Raw genomic sequence first — 26,231 nt, 5'->3', positions numbered from 1 at the left:
AGTCCAGGGTGGACAAGTTCTCAAAATGTTTTCTAAAATAGTGGCAGCCAGGAAAAAGCATACCAATATGCCCGGTAGCTATGCTATCCTAAACTATGTTTGGCAGGTGGCTGCATGAGCAATTCATTCTGCAAGCTATAAATGACACTGGTCTTTTTACTAGATGGTCATTTCTTACAGAGGACACAATTATTATTTCCTTTGTGTCTTGGAGATGGGTACAGTGATTTAAAGGGAAAGCTTATACATGCAGGTATGTTTTCAGTCAGATGAAGGCTGGGCAAAAACAAGGAAGCTTCCTTGATTCTTGCCCATCCTGGTCCTTTTTTTGGTTCATGCATAATGACCTATAGGAGCATATGAGTGTAAGAAACTTTCTGTCCAAGGAATGCCTTCATGCTCTTGATGTCCATGTGTTTGTTCTTTGCTCCTGAGGCCATCACCTCTACCCACCATGATTCTGGGTGACCGTAGATCATGAGACAGATTTGGGAGAATGACATCAGGAACTAAAATCTTGCCTTCTTATTTGATGAGTGAAATCAACTTTCTGAAGAATGAGTAGAGGAGAATGATTTTTTTTTTCCTCTTAGATAACCTGACCTTGAAGGTTGCCTCCACCTCTTATGCCTTAAGCCTCAGTTTCCTCCTCTGTAAAATGGGAATAATGTCTACCTGGACTTTTGTACAAATTAAATGAGATAATATAAAGGTGAGGTGGGGGAGCCAGGATAAATTCAGTTCCCAGCCATTTATGAGGAGCTACCTGTCATGTGCAGGATACAGCAGACATGCCAGGAGCCCATTGATAAGTAGAGTATTGTAAGTAATTAAGTCACGTGTCTGTATAAAGTTCTTTTAGAGGAAGGGCATCTGACTTAACCTGGGAAGTATTTGGGAGTGAGTGAGCCTGGACTGGGGATAATGTCAGGCAAGAGGAGGTGGGAATGCAGATGTGAGTCTTTAAAAAGAAGGAGAGGAAGACATAAGTAGGGGGAGAGCGACTCTAAGCAAGGAGTACGGTACCTCAAGGTGAGTGAGCTCAGAGTGATTCCAAGTGACTGGGTTGGAAAGCACAAAGCTGGGGTGGATGAAGAGGAGGGTGATGTTATCAGAACGGCCAGACTTTCTGAAGAAACAAACCTGGCAGCAAGGTGGGAGGTCTCAAACTGGTTGGAGATCTGCAAAACAATTCTGCTGGTAACTAGCTCACTGACGGAGGTTGAAAACAAGATGTGTGTCACATATATCAAGCTCTTTCAGACATGTGTTGGGGGAAGTGAGAGACTTAAGAGAGTCAAGCCCAAGCAATATTATTAATATTCTCCATCATCAAATGTTGGACCCAGGCCAGAGAGCGTTTTCTGTAATAAATTTTTTTCCTTGGATTTTATCCTGTGAGATACATAAAGTTTAAGGCTGTCAGTGGAGAAGCATTCTGTAAACCAGGAACAACTGACATTTTGGTCTTTAGAAGCTAAGTAGGGTATGGCTCCAATATGAGAGGGGTGGAAATTATTTTTATTCAGCAAAGTGTCTTTGTTGGAGAAATTATAGAGCATGCTACAATCATTAAGTCGTTGAACCTTCCTCTTTGCAGAAAACATTTGCTCAATTGGCCCACATATAAATCTATTTTTTTTGTTCAAAATGGCAGAGAAGCATTAATATGGGAATTGGGCTTAATAGGTTTGGAGAGAAGCATCAGTCATGCACCAGACACTCTTCTGAAGACTGGCCTGCAAAGAACTGTCCTCTTTAACACACCAGGGGTTATCCAGCCTGCAGTAGTCATTCAGCAATTCAGCAAATATTTAGAAAGGGCCTTGATGTCCTAGGCTCAGCACCATACTGTAGATCACAGTGGCCAATAAGATGGACAAGGCCCTGATCTCATGAAGCTCAAGGTCTGGTTGGGGGACTTGATAGCAATCAAATCATAAACAAGAGAATGTTAGATGGTGGGTCATGCTGTGAAGGCACTCTAACAGGATCCGGAGACAGAGTAGGGAGTCGTTAGGGAAGGTCTCTGAGGTGACACTGGGCAGAGACTTGAATAAGGAGCCAGCTGTGCAAAGATCCAGGGGAGAGAAGAGCAAAGGCCTTGAGGGAGGAGTGGGATTGGCAAGTTCACCAAGTGCTATGGGGTGACTCAGGCTGAGAACTCTGAAATCAGGCTGTCCTGGTTTGATCTCAGTGCTGCCACATAATAACTGTACTAATTTGGGCACGTTACTTAACCTCTCTAAATCCTACTTTGCTTTTCTATGAAAAGGGAGCTATTATAGAACTGCCGTAGGATGCTTTTATGAGATAAAGCAAGTAGACTGTCGGACTAAGAGTAAGCATTCAGTAGGTGTAGGTCTTCTTCATCAATAATTAAGTCAACAAATGTTTACTGAGCATTTTCTACATTCCAGGCATTAAGCTGCAAACATTACCAGGGATATTGTCTGCTGCTGTTATCCAGTCCTACGGTTTGGGGAAAGATTTCCCTCTTTAGACTATGACCTCAGGGTACACATAGGACATGCACACAGGGGAGAAGCTATTTATTAAATATGACAGATGGCACTATGTAAGCTAAATCCTGGATTATTGTACTTGAAAACGTTGGTTTCCCCAATAAATATTTGTTGTGTGCCTGCTGTTAGTTAAGCAATATTTTAGGTAATGGGGATAAATTATGAACAAGATAAAGTTTCTGAGCTCATAGAGTTTGCAGTTGAAAACTCTTGGCAAAGACTTATCAATGTCTAATTTGATTATAAGTTTCAACAAATAACTCTGAAAAGGCATGAGATGCATCTAATGTAACCTTTCTCTGGGTACAACTAAAACTATGTGTTTGGAAAAAGGATTCTATTTGGCCACCAAAGTTTTCACCACTCTTAATATGGAACCAATTTTTCAGTATTCAAGAGGTAGTAATATAGGGAACTGGAATGACAATCTAAACCACTGGCTGCTTTTTTCCATCAAGAAGAAATGGGGAAGCGTGTTATATGTATTGAAAGAGAATGTGTTCTGAAGTCAGACAGACCTGAGTTTGAAGGCTGCCTCCACCTCTTAAGCCTTAAACCTCAGCTTTTTTTTCTCTGTAAAGTGGGGATAATATCTACCTGGAGTTTTGTGCAAATTGAATGAGTTAATATAAAGTTTCCATCCCAGTCACTGATATTGGCATGCAATGAATATTAGTTTCTAGTCTCCTTCTTCCCTACTCACCTCCTCTTCCTGCTTACATTCAAAACTGGGGTTTCTTCTGAACTATCAGCAAAATCTAAGCTGTAATTATCTCATGGTTATCTCAATGATAAAAATTTTGCTGGGGCTAGAGATTTGAGGCATCATTTTGGAAACTGTTATCTCAGGTGCCCTTCACCTCCTGCACTGAGATGCAGTTTTCTGAACAAGATAAGATGAACAAGGTGACACTTTTGACAGCAATCACATGGGCTGGTTGTGAGAATTAAGTGAGATAATATGTATAAAAGCAGCTTAGCAAAGTGCTTGGCACAAAGGAAACAAAAAGTAACAGCTGCTATGCATATGCAGGTATTTTAGGCTCTCAGACCAATTTTTCACTGCTGGATGGTCTTGGGAAACAGCCACACTTTTAGAGAATCCTTTTGTTCTAAATTTGAAACTGAGAGCAGGCAGTGTAGGCTGTGACCTCATTTGCTCTTGGACAATGGCAGTATAGTAGCTCTTGAGACAAATGTGAATAAAATATTACTTTGGACTTTTGACAAACAACACTTTGCATAAGTATGATCAAACGAGAAACTAATGGGGTAAGTTTTCCTCTAGGACACAACTGGATAGAAAGTAGAAGAGAATGAGACTTTTTAAGAAAAATCCACATTTTAGTTTTGGTAAACAGAGAATCTTGAAAATTTGAGTAGTATGAGTCTTGACAATCATTCCGAGTACAACAAGTTTTAAATATATTCATTCAACAAATATTTATTAACACCCACTATATTCAGGCCAATATTTTCTGGCTTTCTATTCTAGGAGCCTAGGCCTCAATTTCACGGTGTATCTTGTATACTAATCCCTAGCTTATTTTGAAAGTGCAGCTAACATTCACCCAACTTCCAAAAAAGTCAGCATATTAATAGGGAACATGTACACTTTCTTTTGATTAAACTTTGAAATTTAATTAGTTAGTTCCAGGAGAGTGCAGTTGACATTATTGTCAACATTATATAGCAGCTGATCCAAAAGGACCTTGGCCAATAGTGTTCTAATTGTGGAAAGTAGGGAGAGGAAGGCTACAGGCTTTGCCAGAGCCAGCTAACCCAAGCTCCATTTGTTCTTCAGGGAAGGACAGAATTTGGTTTTAAGACCAATTGTGTGAGTATCAATGTTTTGAATTCATGTTTCTTTTTACATTGTTAAATTTATATATTTCAGCTTCACTTTGTTTCATCTGATGGCTTGATTTTTATCTTATTCAATCTCTAAAGTGATAGGCAGTCTTTAGAGGTATTTCCCCACCATCTCCTCTTCTATTTCTATACTCTACCCTTACTAGTACCAAAACTAGAGACAATACAAGAAAAGAAAACCCCAGACTATCTCTCATGAATATAGATTCAAAATCCTCTGTAAAATATTAGCAAATTGTTCCCAATAATATAGAAAAAGGTTAATATATCAGGACCAAGCAAGGTTCATTCCAGGAATGAACCTGGACCATTCAGCCTGGCTGGTTGAACATTCACAATCAACGGGTATAGTTGGGAAAATATTTGGAAATTTTTGGGAAAAATGGGAAAATATTAACAGATCAAAGAGGCAAAGTCATGTGATCATCTCAATAGATGCAGAAAAAGCATCTAACAAATTCAACATTCGTTCAAGACAAATCTCTCTGCATATCAGGAATAGAAAGGAAATTCTCAACCTGATAAGGTCTTCTGTGAAAAATATACAGCTAATATCATACTTAATGGTGACAGACTGGAAGCTTTCTCTCCAAAATTGGGAATGAGGCAAGGATCTCCTCTCTCATCACTGTTCAGTGAGCTTGAAAAGCAAAATAAAGAAAGTCCATGCATACTGGGAAATAAGAAACAAAACTGTCTCTATTTGCAGACAACATGATTGTCTATTTGAAAAGAAGTTACAGATAAATAAGGGAGTAATGCCAGAATAAACTCTGTGGTGCTGGATTGCAGTCAGAGATGTCGTATGAAGTCATGTTTATTTTAATACATATACAGCTAAGCAGATACAGAAGTAAATATACATGGGTTAGTATACATACACACATAACCTAATGTTGTTCACTGAGAGCTAGGATCAGTGACATCCTTGAGCAATGAATACACTTAGCTCCAGATTTTGGTTTCTAAACATTATTCTCTAATAAAAGGAACCTGATGTTCTTGGGAAAATGGCTAATTCTAGGGCTGGGGCAGTGAAAACATAAGATGAGCCTGGAGCATCTCATGGTGCCAGAATTTAAAGAAGTGGTTAAGAAAAAAAAGGAAAGGATGGGACATATCCAAAGGACACACGATCCAACCTGAAAGAGTTTCTAATGGCCAAACCTAGAAAATCTGAGAAGCAAAATCAACAATGACAGTATTAGATTATAACCCCCAAATGAAACAAATATCTATAAATCCATACTGATATAAATACATGTTTAAATAAATACATGGGGAGAAGGAACAAGTCTTACTTACATATATTAAATAATGTTAAGAAATGATGGAATGAGGGAAATTGAAAATTGCCATAAGAACCTCACAATAGTGATTACCGCGGCAATATCCACCAAGAAATGCTAAGAATAGTGGGTGAAACTTTAAAGAGAAGTGGGATAGCTATGTAGCCTCAGAGTGTCTTCCCCAAAATGTTTGTGTATTACTGTGGTGGTTTTAACATGTGTCTGCAAATTCTTTGATATATCTCTCTCTAGGACTTGGAGTTTAATTCATCTCCCCTTGAATGTGAGCTGGATTTCATGACATGCTTCTAATGAAAAGGAGAAATTAATTAGTAACTTTTCCTTAAAGAAGTCTCATAGATACTACCTTAATCCAGTGATCAAGGTTAAGTTCACCAATAATAAGACATATTGATATAATATCCCTGAAATGTTGCAAAGGGCATGTCACCTCTGTGGCATTCCTTCCAAAAATCTATAACTGTATCTAATCCCGAGAAAATATCAGACAAACCCAAACTGATGGACATTCTACAAAATATTTGACCAGCTGTTTTGAAATATGTCAGGGTCACAAAACACAAGGAAGGATGGAGGAACTGTCACAGACCAGAGAAGATGACAACTAAGTGCAATATGGTGTCCTGGATGGAATCCTGGAACAGAAAAGAGACAGCACTGGAAAGATCAGAGAAATCTCAACAAAAGCTATAGTTTAGTTAACAGAATTAGACCATGCTAATGTCTGAGTTTTGATAATTGTATCATGGTTATGGAAGGTGTTGACATTGGAGAAAGCTGGGTGAAGGGTAATTGGGGACTTTATGGTCTTTGCAACTTCTTTCAAAAAGTCTAAAATTAATTCAAAGTAATTTAGTTTTTTACCTTTTATTTTTAATTTATTTTTGTTTTTATTTTTGAGATGAGGTCTCATTCTGTCACCCAGGCTGGAGTGCAGTGGTGTGATCACAGTTCATAGCAACCTTGACCTCCTGGGGCTCAAGCAATCTTCCCATCTCAGCCTCCCACGTAGCTGGAACCACAGGCATGCACAACGATGCCCAGTTAATTTTTTTACTTTTTTAATTTTTTGTAGAGACAGGGTCTCGCCATGTTGCCCAAGCTCACCTCAAACTCCTGGGCTCATGTGATCCGGCCGCCTTGGCTTCCCAAAGTACTGGGATTATAGGCATGAACCAGCATGCCCAGCCTGAAAAATAATTTAAAAGTTGGTGAAAGTGAGCTAAATTCTTACCCATCATGGTGTGAAGTCAGTAGTTATTGTATAAAATTAATAAATCAAGAAATAGTATTTTAAGCATACTATTTAGCAATACATGAGTAACTATTTGAAGAAACAGTTGAAAGAGATAAAAGTGACTGCATATGGGGAATAGGACTGGGATGGAGAAACAGTGACCCCTGGGCTGCTGCTTCTCATTGTAGGCTTTTCTGCATCAGTGCCTTGTAACAAAACTTTTTATTCTGAAATAATTTCAGACTTACAAAAAAGTTGCAAAAACGCTACAGAGATTTCTCCAAATGTTAACATCTTACATAACCATGCTACAATGATCTAAAACCAAGAAATTAACACTGATAGAGCATTGCTAACAATTTGCAGGTTGATGGTTAACTGCCATTAATTAATCTATGAGTGTCTTCGTTATGCCATTATGTTCTTGATCTGGTCCAGGATCCAGCCTGTGATCTCACATTGCATGTAGCTATTGTCTTTCCTTCCTTTCTTCCGATCTGTAACGGTTCCTTAGTCTTTGTTTTTTACAATTTTAAAGAGTATTGGCTGCTTATTTTGTAGCATATTTCTGAATTTGTTGTTGTTTTTTTTTTTTGAATTTGGATTTGTCTGATGTTTTATGCTTTTCTGAACATGTATTCCTTGCTCTTGATTTAAATAAACTAATTATATAACCCAACTACATTTTACCTGGGTGATCTTTTCTGATGTTCAATGTACTTGGCCAGGAATTTATTTTCACTGTATATGTTAAGCCTTTTCTAAGTTTCTCAATGTGGGCTTTGTTTCTTTTGGTTCCATCATTGGTAGAGTGAAGAACAATCTTAATTTCTAGCCCCCTCCTAAGGATTTAAGCTGACAGCAAAGAACAGGTCTAATTTCCTCTGGTCGTGGGAGGAGACCAACCACAGAGGCAGGGCCTGGCCTCGGCCCATGCAGAGGTGCCTGGGGGTTGTTGAAATGAGGGCAAGCTTCCTTAACCAAAGGTTCTGGCAAACCCCCCAAGGCACCCCTTCTCTTCCCTGTGATTGAGCACTTGGGTGCTGACCTTTTCAGGTCTTTGCCTGTCAGACGCTTGCCTTTGGCCCAATCATAGCTTCTCACTCCCTTTAAACAAAGAGAGTAGAGACCATCGGCATCTCCAAACGTGCTTTCTGCCTTTTGAAGCTTTGAGAGACTGCGCTGGCATAAATCAAAGGAGAGAGAGAGAGTTTATTCATTTAGCTCATCAAAAAAAATCCCACTGTCATCATGTCACATACAGGAGTTTATTCTTTTAATAGCTTTATTCTTTGCCCGTTAAGAAAGGAATTGTTCCAGGGCACTCATTCCATACTGTATATTAGCCATTTCATTTTTCACAGATGGAAAAAAGTACCTTTCCACACATGATTAATTTTGCAGTTGAATACCAGAAGAGCCGACCATGTGCTGGCTCTGGGCCATCCATCAGCAATCTAACATCTGTAATCTAGCCACAACGAGTCACTGTTAACATCACAAACAAATCATGGCTGGTTCATGGTCTGAGCAGTTTATGGACCTTGTGTGGGCAGAGCTTGCATTCTTCCCAGGGATTTGAAAATGAGGATGATCTGAAGTAAGGAAAGCTGCATGTGAAGAGGGCTCACAGAATTTTGTCTTTGAAACATTCCTATTCGATTCTTACCAATGAGAGTTCAGAGCTCTGCCTTCTTCCTCCTTAAAGGAGAATATCAGGGAGGGAATAGTGGGGCTTATACTTTAGAAAAGAGGGGGAAAGCATGATTAGAACAGTTTGAATTAAGTAGAATCAGAACAGTGGCATAAACTTTTTTTAAAATTTTTTTTACTTCTTTTCTCCCATGGATCTGAATTGTGCAAAAGAATTATCACTCACTGCGAGTCCCAGTGTGAACACTTTTCATCAGATGCTCTGACAGCACAATGTGTCATGGAGCCAGGCGGACCGGGTTCGAGTCCCAGTTCCCCAGCATAGCAGTTGCCTTTGGATGTGTCACTTAACCTCTCTGATCTCCTGTTTTCTCCGGGATCATAATATCCACCTCACATAGTTGTTGTGAGATTTCACAGGGCAGTGCTACCATATGTGCCGGCACCTGACACTTAGTAGGTGCTGCTGGAACTTATGTTTCTGTTTTTTCCCTCCTCTTTCCTCTCCAAAGAGAACAAGGTGTCTCTGTCAGGATTAACAGATCAAGACAACCTTTCTGGAAGTTTAGTTGCAGGGCAGATCCTTTAGAGGAACATGAATAGCTTTATAAATTGCCTTCAAAAGTAGCACCAAATCCTTCAGTCAGTTTTAAAGGAACTGTTTACTGCTGCATATGGCAGTCATTATTTAGAATAATAAACCCTCTGAGAATCTGAACATTCATGGGCCAACAGATGGGTCAACCTGCTTCGCAATTTAACAAAGTAATTTATTTCAATCACCGGGACAGGGCATGTGAAGATTACTAATTCAGTTCACAAGCAAAAGCAGCAAACACCACTTGGTTGCTGAATTGTGCAGCCATTATGGAAATGCACACCTGTTCAGTTGGTTTTGGGACAGTCTTCATTTCGATTAGCGTTTTGTTTTCTTCGAAGGTATGTATTAAATTGCTGTAGATTCTTCTGCTGAAATGCATGTGCTAATTGGTGTCAGGATGAGATAAAGATCTCAGTGAAAATTTATACTGTAGTGTAGATAAAATTAAGGTCATCAAAGTTGACTTTGAGAAGTAGAACAGGTGTATCAGAAGTATATTCTTGTAATAATTGGGCAATGTGATGTTCTTTCTTTTCGAAACATTCTGCCCAGGATTTACTGGGGAAGAAAAATAGCCAGGATTATTTTTCTCTCGTCTTCAGATCTGCTTAAATCTCCCAGATCTTGATTTTATTTCTCTTAATCCATGCTCACTCTGGAGCCAAAGGAAGAAATAGAAAAGATGGTCAGAGAGCTTCTCTGGAAAAGTTTCTATGAGCTCAAAAGTGGAATCCAAGATGCTAAAAAGAACTGGGTGGTATTCCCCTTGATAGCTCTCCTCTCCTCTTCCCCAACCCCAACACTGAGTTGGACAGAACTTCTCTGATAATGTCAGGAAGCTTCACACAAAAGATGGCGCCTGGTTTGTATTTGAGAGCTGCCATATGTTAGTTACAATTACTAATACCACAAGATTGTTTTGTTGCCCTTTTTGAAGGGAAGATACTTGTTTTCTTCTATAAAGTTGTTCTCCACTTTGATGTCTGTACTTATTTTACTTCAATATAGATGAGTTTCCTTTCTTACTATCCCTCCCAAATTATTTAATTTTTGGTAACCTTCTTTCAGCCAGAGATTAGATTAGCTACTGGAATTTCAACTAAGCAGAACACAATTCTATCCCTCATGCAGGCAGGAAGACAGACAGGGAGGCAGCAGTTATAACTCAGTGAAAATATTGCTACAATTGGAGGTAAATGCAGATTATGAGAGGATCCCTTGTCAGTGTTCTTAGAAGGCACTTCTATAATATTTTTACATTTCCATGTATATTAGAGCACTAAATTAATATATCAATAGAGCTGCAAAATTGTGGTATTTTTAAAGTTTGTATTTATCAAACTTCAATACCCACATGAATTCAAGGACTGTATACATTAACTCATCATCTCAGGCCATTTGTGCTGCTATTATATAACAAAATACTTAAGACTGGGTAATTTACAAATAACAGAAATTTAGTCCTCATAGTTTTGTGGGCTACAACGTTCAAAATCAAAGTGCCAGCAGGTTTCGTGTCTGGTGAAACCCTGTCTCCGCTTCCAAGATGGCGCCTTGTAGCTGCCTCCTCCAGAGGGGATGAACTGTGTGTCCTCACATGGCAGAAGAGCAAAAAGGCCTTAAGCTAGTTCCCTCCAGCTCTTTTATCAGGCACTAATCCATTCATGAGGGCATGATTTAATCATTTCCCAAAAGGCCGCATCTTTTAATATCACCCCAATGGGGACTAAGTTTTAATCTATGAATTTTAGGAGCCATTCAGATCATGGCACTCATTTAAAGGCAATGTCAAAAGTCTCAGTTTGAGAAATTCATGAATATGAGGCCTGGGCCAAATGGCCCTCCTTCTCCCCCATCCCCACCCCCACCTAACAGCTCTGCATTGCAACTCCCTCTTGGTTGCATTTGGATGTCTCATCTCCCTAACTCCTGCCCTGCCCCTCCCAAGGCTCAAAATATCTTAAACCCAGTTTTTCACCTTGCCCTGAATCACCAAATCAGTTCTTTCTTGTAAAGTCTTTCCTTCTGTAAATGGCCACACGGTATTGTCATCCACTTTGCACTCCTCCTTCATCATCGTTCCTTAAAATGTGACCAGTTTTCAAGAGCTGTTGGCTCTCCCTCTGCCCTATGCCCTGAACTCTTCCTGTCCTGTCCCTCCTCACTGTCATTTTCCTTATTTAGGGCCCTACCATTCACCTGGGTGGTTATCATGCCTTCCACGAAGTCTCTCCTCTTCCTGCCTCGCATCAACATATTCCACCCCCTACCCACTTAGTAAATTGATCCTTTTGGTACCAAGATACCTGGCTCCCCACTGCCCACAGAATTAAATAGATGCTTACCAGCCCGAGAGCTAAAACTCTTTCTGGAATAGCCACAACTCTTATCCCTTCCTCCACATACTCTAGGCGCAAGATAAACGAGAATACTGACTATTCCACAAACACATCTTTGCCTTTCCACCTCTGAGCATTTACATATGCCGCTGCTCTGCCTGCAATGCCATCCCGGAGATTCTGCATGCTGAAACTCTATCCTTCCTTTAAAGTCCACTTCAAATGCTTCAGGAAACCTTCCCTCCTCCCCGACCCCCTGCATGTTGCTCCCTCTTTAGAACACTAGTAGCTCTTTGATTCTTTTATATCTTATGGCTCTCACTTTTTCTTTTCTTTTTTTTTTTCTTGAGACGGAGTCTTGCTGTGTTGCTCAGGCTGGAGTGCAGTGGCACAATCTCGTCTCACTGCAAGCTCCGCCTCCCGGGTTTACGCCAATCTCCTGCCTCAGCCTCCCGAGTAGCTGGGACTACAGGCGCCCGCCACCACACCCAGCTAATTTTTTGTGTTATTAGTATAGACTGGGTTTCACCGTGTTAGCCAGGATGGTCTCGATCTCCTGACCTCATGATCCACCCACCTCAGCCTCCAAAAGTGCTGGGATTGGCTCTCACTTTTTCTAACGTACCTATTCCACAAATACCTAACAAGCATCTATCAGGAGCTACAGACTCTGGCATGTGCTGGGGTTAAATGAGGTATCAAGGATCCCTTTCCTCACAGAATTTATAGTCTAATGAAGGAGGCTGACAAGGAAACAGACAATTCCCATAGGGTGACGAAGCAGGAGAGTGTCTGATGGTAGCACAGAAAAAGGCTGCTTCATAAACTGGGGCACAAGGGCAAAAGAATCTACAGGCAAATATCCCCCTCAGTTATCTATATTTTCATTTATACCTTCTAGGTGGACCTGTTCTTGAGGGAAATTGGCTGATATCACTGCATGTCCTTGAAGCCTAAGTATTGTGCCTATACATCAGCACTTACAACTTTGGTTTTTTTTTTAATATATACATTTTTATTACACTTTAAGTTCTAGGGTACATGTGCACAACGTGCAGGTTTGTTACATATGTATACATGTGCCATGTTGGTGTGCTGCACCCATTAACTCGTCATTTACATTAGGTATCTCTCCTAATGCTATCCCTCCCCCCTCCCCCCTCCCCCACCCCACAACAGGCCCCGGTGTGTGATGTTCCCCTTCCTGTGTCCAAGTGCTCTCGTTGTTCAATTCCCACCTATGAGTGAGAACATGCAGTGTTCGGTTTTTTTGTCTTTGCGATAGTTTGCTGAGAATGACGGTTTCCAGCTACATCCATGTCCCTACAAAGGACATGAACTCATCATTTTTTATGGCTGCATAGTATTCCATGGTGTATATGTGCCACATTTTCTTAATCCAGTCTATCATTGTTGGACATTTGGGTTGGTTCCAAGTCTTTGCTATTGTGAATAGCCCCGCAATAAATACATGTGCATGTGTCTTTATAGCAGCATGATTTATAATCCTTTGGGTATATACCCAGTAACGGGATGGCGGGGTCAAATGGTATTTCTAGTTCTAGCTCCCTGAGGAATCGTCACACTGACTTCCACAATGGTTGAACTGGTTTACAGTCCCACCAACAGTGTAAAAGTGTTCCTATTTCTCCACATCCTCTCCAGCACCTGTTGTTTCCTAACTTTTTAATGATCGCCATTCTAACTGGTGTGAGATGGTATCCCGTTGTGGTTTTCATTTGCATTTCTCTGATGGCCAGTGATGGTGAGCATTTTTTCATGTGTCTCTTGGCTGCATAAATGTCTTCTTTTGAGAAGTGTCTGTTCATATCCTTTGCCCACTTGTTGATGGGGTCGTTTGTTTTTTTCTTGTAAATTTGTTTGAGTTCTTTGTAGATTCTGGACATTAGCCCTTTGTCAGATGAGTAGATTGCAAAAATGTTCTCCCATTCTGTAGGTTGCCTGTTCACTCTGATGATAGTTTCTTTTGCTGTGCAGAAGCTCTTTAGTTTAATTAGATCCCATTTGTCAATTCTGGCTTTTGTTGCCATTGCTTTTGGTGTTTTAGACATGAAGTCCTTGTCCATGCCTGTGTCCTGAATGGTATTGCCTAGGTTTTCTTCTAGGGTTTTTATGGTTTTAGGTCTAACATTTAAGTCTTTAATCCATCTTGAATTAATTTTTGTATAAGGTGTAAGGAATGGATCCAGATTCAGCTTTCTACATATGGCTAGCCAATTTTCCCAGCACCATTTATTAATTAGGGAATCCTTTCCCCATTTCTGTTTTTGTCAGGTTTGTCAAAGATCAGATAGTTGCAGATGTGTGGTATTATTTCTGAGGGCTCTGTTCTGTTCCATTGTATCTCTGTTTTGGTACCAGTACCATGCTGTTTTGGTTACTGTAGCCTCGTAGTATAGTTTGAAGTCAGGTAGCATGATGCCTCCAGCTTTGTTCTTCTGGCTTAGGATTGACTTGGTAATGGGGGCTCTTTTTTTGGTTCCATATGAACTTTAAAGTAGTTTTTTCCAATTCCGTGAAGAAAGTCATTGGTAGCTTGATGGGGATGGCATTGAATCTATAAATTACCTTGGGCAGTATGGCCATTTTCATGACTAATAAAGAAGAAAAGAGAGAAGAATCAAATAGATGCAATAAAAAATGATAAAGGGGATATCACCACTGATCCCACAGAAATACAAACTACCATCAGAGAATACTATAAACACCTCTATGCAAATAAACTAGAAAATCTAGAAGAGATGGATAAATTCCTCAACACATACACCCTCCCAAGACTAAACCAGGAAGAAGTTGAATCTCTGAATAGACCTACAACAGGCTCTGAAATTGAGGCAATAATTAATATCTTACCAACCAAAAAAATTCCAGGACCAGATGGATTCACAGCCGAATTCTACCAGAGGTACAAGGAGGAGTTGGTACCATTCCTTCTGAAACTATTCCAATCAATTGAAAAAGAGGGAATCCTCCCTAACTCATTTTATGAGGCCAGCATCATCCTGATACCGAAACCTGGCAGAGACACACACAAAAAAGAGAATTTTAGACCAATATCCTTGATGAACATTGATGCAAAAATCCCCAATAAAATACTGGCAAACCGAATCCAGCAGCACATCAAAAAGCTTATCCACCATGATCCAAGTGGGCTTCATCCCTGGGATGCAAGTCTGGTTCAACATATGCAAACCAATAAATGTAATCCAGCATATAAACAGAACCAAAGACAAAAACCATATGATTATCTCAATAGATGCAGAAAAGCCCTTTGACAAAATTCAACAACCTTCATGCTAAAAACTCTCAATAAATTAGGTATTGATGGGACATATCTGAAAATAATAAGAGCTATTTATGACAAACCCACAGCCAATATCATACTGAATGGGCAAAAACTGGAAGCATTCCCTTTGAAAACTGGCACAAGACAGGGATGTCCTCTCTCACCACTCCTATTCAACATAGTGTTGGAAGTTCTGGCCAGGGCAATTAGGCAGGAGAAGGAAATAAAGGGTATTGAATTAGGAAAAGAGGAAGTCAAATTGTCCCTGTTTGCAGATGACATGATTGTATAGCTAGAAAACCCCATTGTCTCAGCCCAAAATCTCCTTAAGCTGATAAGCAACTTCAGCAAAGTCTCAGGATACAAAATCAATGTGCAAAAATCACAAGCATTCTTATACACCAATAACAGACAAACAGAGAGCCAAATCATGAGTGAACTCCCATTCACAATTGCTTCAAAGAGAATAAAATACCTAGGAATCCAACTTACAAGGGATGTGAAGGACCTCTTCAAGGAGAACTACAAACCACTGCTCAACGAAATAAAAGAGGATACAAACAAGTGGAAGAACATTCCATGCTGATGGATAGGAAGAAGCACTTACAACTTTGGAAAGATGTTTTTGCACAAAGCTCCTGAGTCTGAAATTTGCGTGAAGCTCCCTTTGAGAGATGAAGCCAGCTGGGCTTCCGGGTTGGGTGGGGACTTGGAGAACTTTTCTGTCTACCTAAAGGATTGTAAATGCACCAATCAGCACTCTGTGTCTAGCTAAAGGTTTGTAAACACACCAATCAGCACTCTGTGTCTAGCTAATTGGGTGGGGACCTGGAGAACTTTTCTGTCTAGCTGAAGGACTGTAAATGCACCAGTCAGTGCTCTGTGTCTAGCTAAAGGTCTGTAAACACACCAATCACCACTCTGTGTCTAGCTAATCGGGTAGGGACCTGGAGAACTTTTCTGTCTAGCTAAAGGGTTGTAAACGCACCAATCAGCACTCTGTAAAAATGGACCAATCAGCACTCTGTAAAATGGACCAATCCGCACTCTGTAAAACGGACCAATCCGCACTCTGTAAAACGGACCAATCTGCACTCTGTAAAACAGACCAATCAGCACTCTGTAAAATGGACCAATCAGCACTCTGTAAAATGGACCAATCAGCAGGATGTGGGTGGGGCCAAATAAGGGAAGAAAAGTAGGCCAGGGGAGCCAGCAGTGGCAACAGTGCTCAACGATCCACTTTGAAGCTTTGGCAGCTTTGCTCTTTCACTGTTTGCCATAAAGCTTACTGCTGCTCCCTCTGAGTCCACATTGCCTTTATGAGCTGTAACACTCACTGCGAAGGTCTGCAGCTTCATTCCTGAAGTCAGTAAGACCATGAACCCACCTGAAGGAAGAAATTCTGGACACATCTGAACATCTGAAGGAACAAACTCGGGACACGCCTTTAAGAACTGTAACACCGCGAAGGTCCGCAGCTTCATTCTTGAAGTCAGTGAGACGAAGAACCCACCAGCAGGAACCAATTCCGGACACACCTTGTGGGAAAATAAAAGTCTCAGGGGAAAAAAGTAAAATAGAATAAAATGCCAAAAGGATTTTTAACTCCAAAGCTTGAACTCTTCGCAGAGCTTCAATTAGTTAACTTGCTATCTCAATAATTAGTTCCATTTTACAGCTTTCACAGATACCGCTGCAGGCTTAGGAGCTGATATCACAAAACAGTGTCTAAAGTCAAGTGGCTTTCCTCCACGTGTTACCTCAGAAACACCCCAGTACCCATAGCAGAGTGCTTGACAGAGAGCCCACAGTCAGGGTTGGATAAGCCAGTACTAAGCACTGTCCATGTTGGAATGTGGAGAAAGAGTTTAATCTTGTAAAGTGCTGGTTGGGTCCCTCCTGGGACAACTAGTCTACAGTTTCCACCTCCCTTGCAGCTCACTTAGTCACATGGTCCAGTTTTAGCCAATGGAATGTCCCTGTCCTAATGGGCAACTTCTAGGCCGCAGACTCTTTCTCCTTGCTGGAAAGCCCCCTGTTGAAGATGGCAGAGGCAGAGGTGGCACTGTCAGTACCTCCATGCCTGCCTTATCTGGCACACCACGTTGGACTGTTAAGTGAGCAAGAAAAAAAGCTCCCACTATGCTAAGCCACTGGAACTTGGGGCTTATTTGTTGAACACCTGGCATAACCCTAACAGCTGATACAATCCACTTTATGTTGTGTTCAGAAAATGAGGACAAAAAAGCAAAACATCTCTAATGGACTCTCTGTGAAACCAGACTTGCCTTCAGGTGAGTTGGTTGCCTTGTTTCTCTGAGTGTCTTCAGTGGGCCTTTGGAAACTTGCTTTTTTGGAGCAAAGTTAGGTAGGTTCAATAGTATGTTTGAAGTTTTCCTGTGTTACATTTTTTAAAAATTTGTAATTTGTGGATGCAAATTCTTCATAGCTTTCACAACTGAAGAAAAATTTCCAGATGTTTCACAAAGCACTAAAATACTGTAAGTTGTTTTCTTTTTCAATGGGAAATTATTCACAGGGCAATAAAATGTTGTTTTTTCAGTAAACAGATTATGTTTCAGTCTGCGGTGTGAACACTTAAATGGAACGATGCAATATGCCACTTTTTAAAAGAGGGTTTTAAACATGTCAGTACAAACCTTTCAATCCTCTGTCCCATAAATTCAACTTTTTAAAATGAAATCAACCTGAGCCCTGTGAAAGCTCATACTGCTATATCAAAACCAGTGAAATTTGCCTGTTTATTGCCATCTATGGAATGTGGCAAAGAAACATTCTTTTCACATGGGACAATTTCTTCAACTTTACACCAGGTGAAATTTAATTACTTTTCACTTCCTGGAATCATTAGGCATTAGTTCTCCTGGAGGCGGAGCGAAAGGAGAAGCTGAAAAATAAGTCTGTGTTTAATACATTTCACCTTGGAATTTTATCCTTCTTCCCTCTACTACTGGTTATGCGGCAAGTTTCAGCCTGGGAAGCCACTTCAGAAACATTTAGGAGTTCTCATCAACACAGGTACATTGACACTCAAAGTAATTCCTTATGTCTCAACCAATATTGTCAGTGAAACAATTGGAATGTCAGGTTCTTCCAAGTTAGCGTTTTGAGATATTTTTGTCTTTACAAAAAAGTAGTAAGTGCAGTAGCAAGTAAGCAAACAGAAGCCCGAGCAAAGCCTTCTCCAGGGTATGGTTGTATCACAACACAGGAAAAACAGAATTGTACAGAACAAGTATAGTTTAGTAATTTAGTTCACATCACAATAGATTGTTTCACTCTTCAAAGGGATTCATGGGTCCTTTTATATTTAATATTCTTTTTATATTTAATTATAAATCATATATTAAAGTTTCTCATAGAGTATTTGAATGCAGTTTATGGTAATTACCTAACAAAGAGAATGAGAAGGGATGAAATTAAAGACCCTTGTTAAAGTCACTGTCAGAAATGCAGATGAACAATCTGCAAAGGCACGGAAGACGAAGGGAAGGAAAGCGGGAGTCAGTGGGAAGGAACACAGTGCGTCAGATCACATCCATGTGGTAGTGCGAGGTATACTCGTGCTACATCGTGAATGTCTTTCTTCACTTTTTGAGATCCTCACCCCATGATAATGTGCAAAATGCTCTTGGTAATTACAAGACAGGACACTGCTGCTAGTTGGTTGAGACCTAAAGACTCTCTCATAATACCACTCTTTGGGAGGCACCAAAGATGAATATTGGAAAATGTAGGATGGAAGTTGACAACTTCCATCAAAGTTGGAATGTAGTTGACAAACTTCCTCCTACAAAGGAGGAACATAGCATGACTTTTTCTTGGGGTAGATATGGAAGAAGAGAGATGATTAAGTGAGAGCAGCACTTTCTTTATGGGCAAGAATTCCCATGCGTACACATGTTGGTTTTGCAATTCAGTAGAACTGGATTCTGAGCATCCTATGAATCTTAGTTTTGTTTTTTTTTTCAAAACAGTGGCAACCATTCTTTCTTAATGGATAACTACATACTCTCTCTCTCTGTGTGTGTGTGTGTGTATGTGTGCATGTGATGAAGAGAATGATTATCCCCTACTCAAGAATTTTAAAATGTGGATAATTTTCGTGCTGAAAACCCAACTTGATTAAAGTCTCTATATTTCACTATGTTTAATTATCTGGACCTCTAATTGATTTGAAGGCATATTTTCAAGATAAGACTAGAGGACATATTTTATCTAACTGTTTGTTAGCTCGATCTGAAGATTATAAATATTTAGACCAGTGGTTTTGGGACCCCCACTGTTGTGTGGGGGTCACACAAATGTTGGGGAGCCCTGGCCCTCTTAAGTCTGCAACCAACCAAAACCCCTTGGCCTCTTCAGTTTCTGTACCTTACAGCCAATAGACTGTAAAGATTTCTCCCCTCTGAAATACTCTTTGATCTGTACTGAATTTCATCTGAATGTGAAGTTTAGTCAGGAGGGGTTTCACCTTGTTAAAAACTCTCTCGCATAGTGAAGGAATGTTTTTTGAGCGCCTATATATAGTTATATTCTGGGCTTTGGGGAGGTTACACTAGTCAAACAGACCTAATCTTTGCATTTTTGACTAAGTAGGGAGATGGACATTGAACAGCAGGCTACTTCAATAGCTTGTTAGCTATTTATTGTTATGGTGAGTGTGACAAAGGATGCCTGTGGAGTCTTGAGTGTGTATGAGGTAGAGCTGGGCAAGATGTCCTCAAGAAAGTGACTCTTATGCTGAGACTTAAGGTTAAGTAGCATTTGGCCAGAAAAAACAGTCACAGGAAGCACCTTGGGCAGAGTCTTGGTTCAGGGTGGCTAGAGATGGGCAGTGTGGCGGGAGAGGAGGCTGGAGCAGGTGATTAGGTGGGTGAGGAGGGCCTGGTCCTGCAGAAGGTGGAGTGCAGTGGTGGGAAGTTGGTGCCATTAGTAGGGCAAGAAGTTTGAAATGGGCTTTGCCTAAGTAAATATTGCTTGCAAAGATTTTAGCCTGTCCATCCTTGCTGGGGTGGGTTTGGGGTTGGAGGGGATGGTCCATCATTTTTCACCTGGGCCTGACCTATTCTTTTTAAATTTAAATTTAAATTTAAATTTTTTTTAGAGACAGGGTTTTACTCTGTCACCTAGGCTAGAGTGCAGTGGCATGATCACAGCTCTGTGCAGCCTTGAACTCCTAGGCTTAAGCAATCCTCCTGCCTCAGCCTCTCAAGTAGCTGGGATTACAGGTGAGAATGACCATGTCCAGCTAATTTTTTTTTTCTTTGCAGAGATAGGTTCTCGCTATGTTGCCCAGGCTGGTCTCAAACTCCTGGACTGAAGCAATCCTTATCTTCCTGTCTTGGCCTCCCAAATTTTGAGATTGTAGGCATGAACCACATTTGTCCTCTGACCTATTCTTGATGGGGTTGCAAGCAGAGCCCTGTGGGCCATGGCAGGAATTTGTATAATATCCTAAGAGCAATGAGAAGCTACTAGACGTTTTAATGAGAAGTGTTACATATTTATCAAGTGCTGTCAGGTTCTAATGTTGAGGACTTGGATGAGGTTTGGTAAAGGGCATCAAAATATCTGAGTGTGTTTGTAACAAGTCATGACAATTAAATTTTTAAAAACTGTGTAAAGGAGGAAGGGGCTGGTTAAACATGATATTTGATCTGCCTCATTCTTGTTCAACCTAACAGCATGTAACTGTGTTAAAGAGAATATAACTCAGTATTAATCTGTAATAGTAGTAGACTGTGGCTGTTTTGAACCAACTAATTTTTGCAGTAATCTCACTCCTAAAAAAACGTGTTCTTGGCCAAGTACAGCGGTTCATGCCTGAAATCCCAGCATTTTGGGAGGCTGAGGCAGAAGGATGGCTTGAAGCCAGAAGTTTGAGACCAGCCTGGGCAATGTAGTGAGACTTTGTCTTTATAAAAAATTAAAAATTAGCTGGATGTGGTGGCATGCATCTGTAATCCTAGTGAGTTGGGAGGCTGAGGCAGGAGGATCCCTTGAGCCCAGGAGTTTGAGGCTACAATGAGCTGTGATCACACCACTACACTCCAGCTTAGGTGACAGAGCAAGACCTTGTCTCTAAAAGAAAGAAAAAAACCTGTTCTCAAAAGAAGCTCATGGTGGGAGGAGCAGAAACCAATGCTGACATATCAGTCTTTGATACGGAGGTGTAGTAGGCAGACATGAATTTTCCTAGATTAAAAACAAATGTGTAATGAAAGTTGAAATATAAAGAATTTCTCCATTTATCTTCTTGACTAAAGAGGGAAAAAGATCATACACATTGTAGATCATTTGAGTTTTAGGCTGATGATTTGAAACATTTTTATAATAATTCAGTGGCTCTTTTTGAATATCCAGATGTTAATAATGGTTCCCTGCTATGTGATTAGAAATGAATCTGCCAAGGAAAAATGAAGCCCTTTTCTCTTGGGGGAAGTTGAGTAACTTCTGTTATTTTCCCAGGCTTCCTGGGGAAGTCTATCAACATATGAATAAATGATGGGAACCGGAGTCTGGCTGGTCACCATGGAATTACCAGCCTTGTTTTCTGAGTTTGACCTTAGTTATTTACACACTCAGCTTGAAATACGGCAAATGTAGTCACTTTTCAGCTATTTCATTCCTTGAAATCTAATAGTCCTGTAAATGTTTTGAGATTGAAAAGGCTGTGCTGTTTTCATAAAGGTTTCCGCTGTCATTGGTTGTGAAGGCCACGACTTTTGCCCAAATAAAGAAATAAGATGAGGACTGGGGATTCCCTCTTCTCTATTAAATTTTTCGTGGGAGAGAGAGAAAAACATCATCCTCTTGAAAAAGAAACAACATTTAAAAGCCACAAATCTCTCTTAGAGATAGAAACCCAGTAACTGGCTTGGATGGATGATTTTTGTTTTATTGTTGCATTTCTGATATGCTACCTGTTTTAATTTTTTCTTTAACACTGAAGATTCCATGCTAGGGTTGTCTTAGATCTAGGTATTTCCAAATCATTACATTCAAACGTTAAAACACTCCATTTGGCCCTTAGAAACATCATGATAGTCTTTCTTTACACTGAGGAGCTAAAACATTTCCGGTATAATGCCTAAATATAAACATACATCTGCAATGACCTCTTCCCATATGGGACTCTTTATTCAGTCCACCAACATTTATTGACAGGATTTTTAGGGATTTCTTGTCAAATGAGATCTTGTTTTGGCAAAATAAAAACTTATCATCTGAGAAATGAGAAGATCATTGCTTTTTAAGCAGCATTTATAGGACATTTAATATGTATGGGACATTTAATATGTCAATATTTAATTTATTGACAGGATTTTTAGGGATTTGTTGTCAAATGAGATCTTGTTTTGGCAAAATAAAAACATCATCTGAGAAATGAGAAGATCATTGCTTTTTAAGCAACATTTATAGGACATTTAATATCTACAGCATTTTGCAAAGAAGCAGAAGGTAATAACATTAATAACAATAGCTGGCATTGGGAGCTAACATTTGTTACATACAATCAGCCAGGCACTGAGGTAAGCACATTATATAGTTTGGCTTATTTTTTCCTCCAGCACTCTTTTGGGGTAGGTACTATTATTATCTCTATTAACGGATGAGAAAACTGAGGCTCACTAAAGTTTAGTAATTTGCCTAACACCATATGGCTAATGAAAAAGCCAGGACACAGTCCTAGGAAATTTGTTTCCAGAGTCAAGAACCTTCTAGATCAGAGGCTCTCCAACTGTGGTTCATGGACTGTTTTCTGGGAACCCATGACATCAAAGTATTTTCATATTAACACTAAGAGGTTACTTGCCTTTCTGTGCTGACATTTGCGCTAATGGTGCAGAAGCAATGGCAGGAAAACTGCTGCTTCTTAGCACGAATCAAAGTGTTAAAATCAAGTTGTGCTAGTGGTCCTTGTGTTCTTCACTGCCATGTATTTCTGGGGAGATAAAAAAGACAATTTCTTTTAACAACGTCCTTGATGAAGGAGTAAGAAATTATTAATTTTTCTAAACCTTGGCCCTTATGAAAAAATTTTAAAACATATTCTGTGTGACAAAATGAGACATGAGCACAAGGCCCTTCTTCTGCACACTGAAGTACAATGCTATCACTGTTTGATCGTTTGAACTGGGAGCTGTCTAGTCCTTTCTTTCATGGGGCCCCATTTTTACTTGAAAGAATAAGACAAACGATAGATACTTAGACATGGCAGATCTTTTTAGTGGTGCATTTTTGCAAAAATAAACAAAATGTGCTTATTGTGTCAAGAAACTCACTGATAGTATTTATGGCTAATAATAAAATTTGAGCTTTCAAGAGAAAATTAGAATCTTGGAGATTTTGTATTCACCACCATGAGCTTGATAGCTTCAGGATACTTAAAGACTTTTCTGAGCCCAGAAGTGAAATTAACACATGCAATTTTGTGATATAAAGTAAGATATGGCAACATCTGGAAAACTGCATAACTAACAGAGTCAACCAATATTTCCCCAATGACCAATGCTTGATGTTACAAAATCATGCATAGGTAAAAGATTCATTCAATGTAGGAAGTAAACAGTGGATGGTAATGTTACAGAATATAGCAACAGTTAATTTGTATAGTTTCAGATTCCACATTATAACTAACCTTTAAGAAGCTACCACTTGTTAAGTTTTGGTGTGATACCAAAGAATATCTGCAATGATCAGATAAAGCTATCAAAATGCTCTTCCTTTTCTAAGTACCTAATCGCAGTTAGAAAAAAATATGTGTGATGCTGGATAATCTTCATAAACTTCCATCAAAACAATATATTGTAACAGATTGAATGTAGGAGCAGATATAAGAATCCAGCTGTGTTCTATTAAACTAGACATTTATAAGATGCATAAAACTGTAAAACTATGCCATTCTTGTTACTAAATTTTTAAAATTAAAAAAATTTGTGGTAAAATACACATGAACATAAAATTTACCATCTTAATCATTTTTGAGTGTACAGTTCAGTAGTGTTAAGTACATTAACATTGTTGGGCAACTAATCCCTAGAACTTTTTTCATCTTGCAAAACTAAAATTTTACACCCGCTAACCAATAACTCCCGATTACGCCCTCTGCCCCTCAGCCCTTGGCAACCATCATTCTACTTGAATTTACATCTGAATTTAACAACTCTGGGTACTTCATATAAGTGAAATCATATAGTATTTGTCTTTTTGTGACTGGTTTATTTCACTTAGTAACTTTCTTGCTTTTTTTTTTGAAATATAGTCATTTTCATAACAATGTTATTTATGTTAGCATACAATGGATTTCTTATTGTTATTTCAATGAACAATAAATACTTAAAATTCTCAGTTTTAAATTTAATAGAATAAATGTCAATAGATATTTATTGACATTTATTGACTATACATATCTCTATTGAACCACTAGCTGCATTACTGTAATTACTCATTTTAATGTTTGTCTGTATAATATAATATAATGTTTGTCTTTATATTATAATATAATGTTTGTCTTTATATTATAATATAATGTTTGTCTCTATAATAGTCACTATATGGTGACTATTGTGGCAAGGACTGTGGAGTATTTATTTTATATCTATAGGGCGGATATTAACTGAGTATTTGATAAGTGATGAATGCTGAAACCCAAATTACAGTCAACACACTTTGAAAGTTACAGATCAACTTGTTGTGTGAGTGCATAATGCATAATTTTAAGGGGTGCTGGAATAAACATTTTAAATAGGTATTATATAGTTTAATGTGTTTGGAAAGAACTGTAACTTAGATATTGAACTTCCCATTTCACCAATTTCATTGTTTAGTATGAACATAAAGTAAGATGCCAGGTAGGTAATGTTGTATATTGGAAAGGCAAAAAATTGTGAAGTTGGGACTTCAGTGCTGGAGCTGGGAAAGCGATCATAGTCATGAGCTACATTTCTTCTGATGAATGAGTTTTCCTGCCATCTTCCTTATGGACATCTGCTGATAAGGAGAAACTCATTGGTAGAGAGTCCTTGAAATTTCCATAATATGTGCCAACATGAATTAATACAAAATACAACAATTATGCAATATGGGACTTGAAAGCAAGTATTGTACTTTATCCACTATGATGGTTAATACTGAGTGTCAACTTGTTTGGATGGAAGGATGCAAATTATTGTCCCTGGGTGTGTCTGTGAGGGTATTGCCAAAGGAGATTAACCTTTGAGTCAGTGGACTGCGAGAGGCAGACCTACCCTCAATCGGGTGGGCAACATCTAATCAGCTGCCAGCATAAAATCAGGCATGGAAAGAGAAGACTTGCTGAATCTTCCAGCCTCCATCTTTCTCCTGTGCTGGATGCTTCCTGCCTTCGAACATTAGACTCTAAGTTCTTCAGCTTTTGAACTCTTGGACCTACACCAGTGACTTTCCAGGGGCTCTCGGGCCTTCGGCCACAGACTGAAGGCTGCACTGTCAGCTTCCCTACTTTTGAGGTTTTTGGACTCAGACTGCCTTCCTGGGTCCTCAGCTTGCAGACAGCATGTTGTGTGACTTCACCTTGTGATTGTGTGAGTCAATTCTAATAAACTCCCCTTTATATATACATCTATCCTATTAGTTCTGTCCCTTTAACGAACCCTGACTAATATACCCACTAAACAATATGGGACTTGAAAGCCGGTATTAGTACTGGCTTTAATTTCAAGGCTTTCAAGACCTAATAATTATGTCTTAAACCCTCATCTTTTCTAGAGAATGACTTTATTTCTCATTTGTTAAAAACCTGCCCTAATGTCTTTCTCTTGATGAATGTTCTTAGTTGCTCTAGAGCCAGGGGATCATTGAGGAAATCTTTTGAATTTGATTAAAAATAGTCTGTGTTAAATATAAAAACTCACAGAATGACATATTAAGCCCTTACCTTCTCTGTATTTTATTAGTAATACATATGGTGAATAAATACAGTTGCTGCCATATAAAGCAATTTTTGGTGCTATTAACATTGTTTTCTGATTTACTATGATATGAGTATTTATTGATCTGGGGCTGTCACTGGCCTGAAATTAATGGTGTTTAGGGTCTAAATTAGGCAGGATGTCACAAGATCTTAAATTCCATAGAGAAGAATGTCTGAGAAATGTGCCTTTTGCTCGTCTCAGTGGAGTAAAGCTTTTGATCTTCTGCATACTTGGATCTGGTTTCCTGCAAAGCCATGTTGCCCACATTGGTGCCAATGACTAAAGCTGAGTTTTTTTAAGGACAGCACTGGCTTAAATTCTTGTTGCATTCAGACTAGTTGCAGTCTTGTCTCTGCTCCCTTCCCCTATGAAGAGTTTGGGGAAGAAACATCATGAAAAAATACA

The 26,231-nt window shown here is 39.4% G+C and overlaps 1 long non-coding RNA gene across 8 annotated transcripts in view, besides 1 other annotated feature; it reads left to right on the top strand.

The window, feature by feature from the left end:
• The window catches only part of LINC03007 (long intergenic non-protein coding RNA 3007), a 196,819-nt gene that overhangs the window by 73,770 nt on the left and 96,818 nt on the right, over positions 1-26,231 (top strand). The gene's annotated exons all lie outside the window — the stretch shown is intronic.
• Positions 19,199-19,816: an enhancer, noted in NCBI's record as "OCT4-NANOG hESC enhancer chr7:25736154-25736771 (GRCh37/hg19 assembly coordinates)". NCBI's record gives its function as "activates a minimal SCP1, AML or CMV promoter by ChIP-STARR-seq in naive H9 embryonic stem cells {active_cell/tissue: H9 hESC(naive)}" and the evidence as "EXISTENCE:reporter gene assay evidence [ECO:0000049][PMID:30033119]".

Source organism: Homo sapiens, chromosome 7 (genome assembly GCF_000001405.40).
Source record: "Homo sapiens chromosome 7, GRCh38.p14 Primary Assembly".
Lineage (NCBI taxonomy): Eukaryota > Metazoa > Chordata > Mammalia > Primates > Hominidae > Homo > Homo sapiens.
This window is presented reverse-complemented; position numbering and strand designations above follow the sequence as displayed.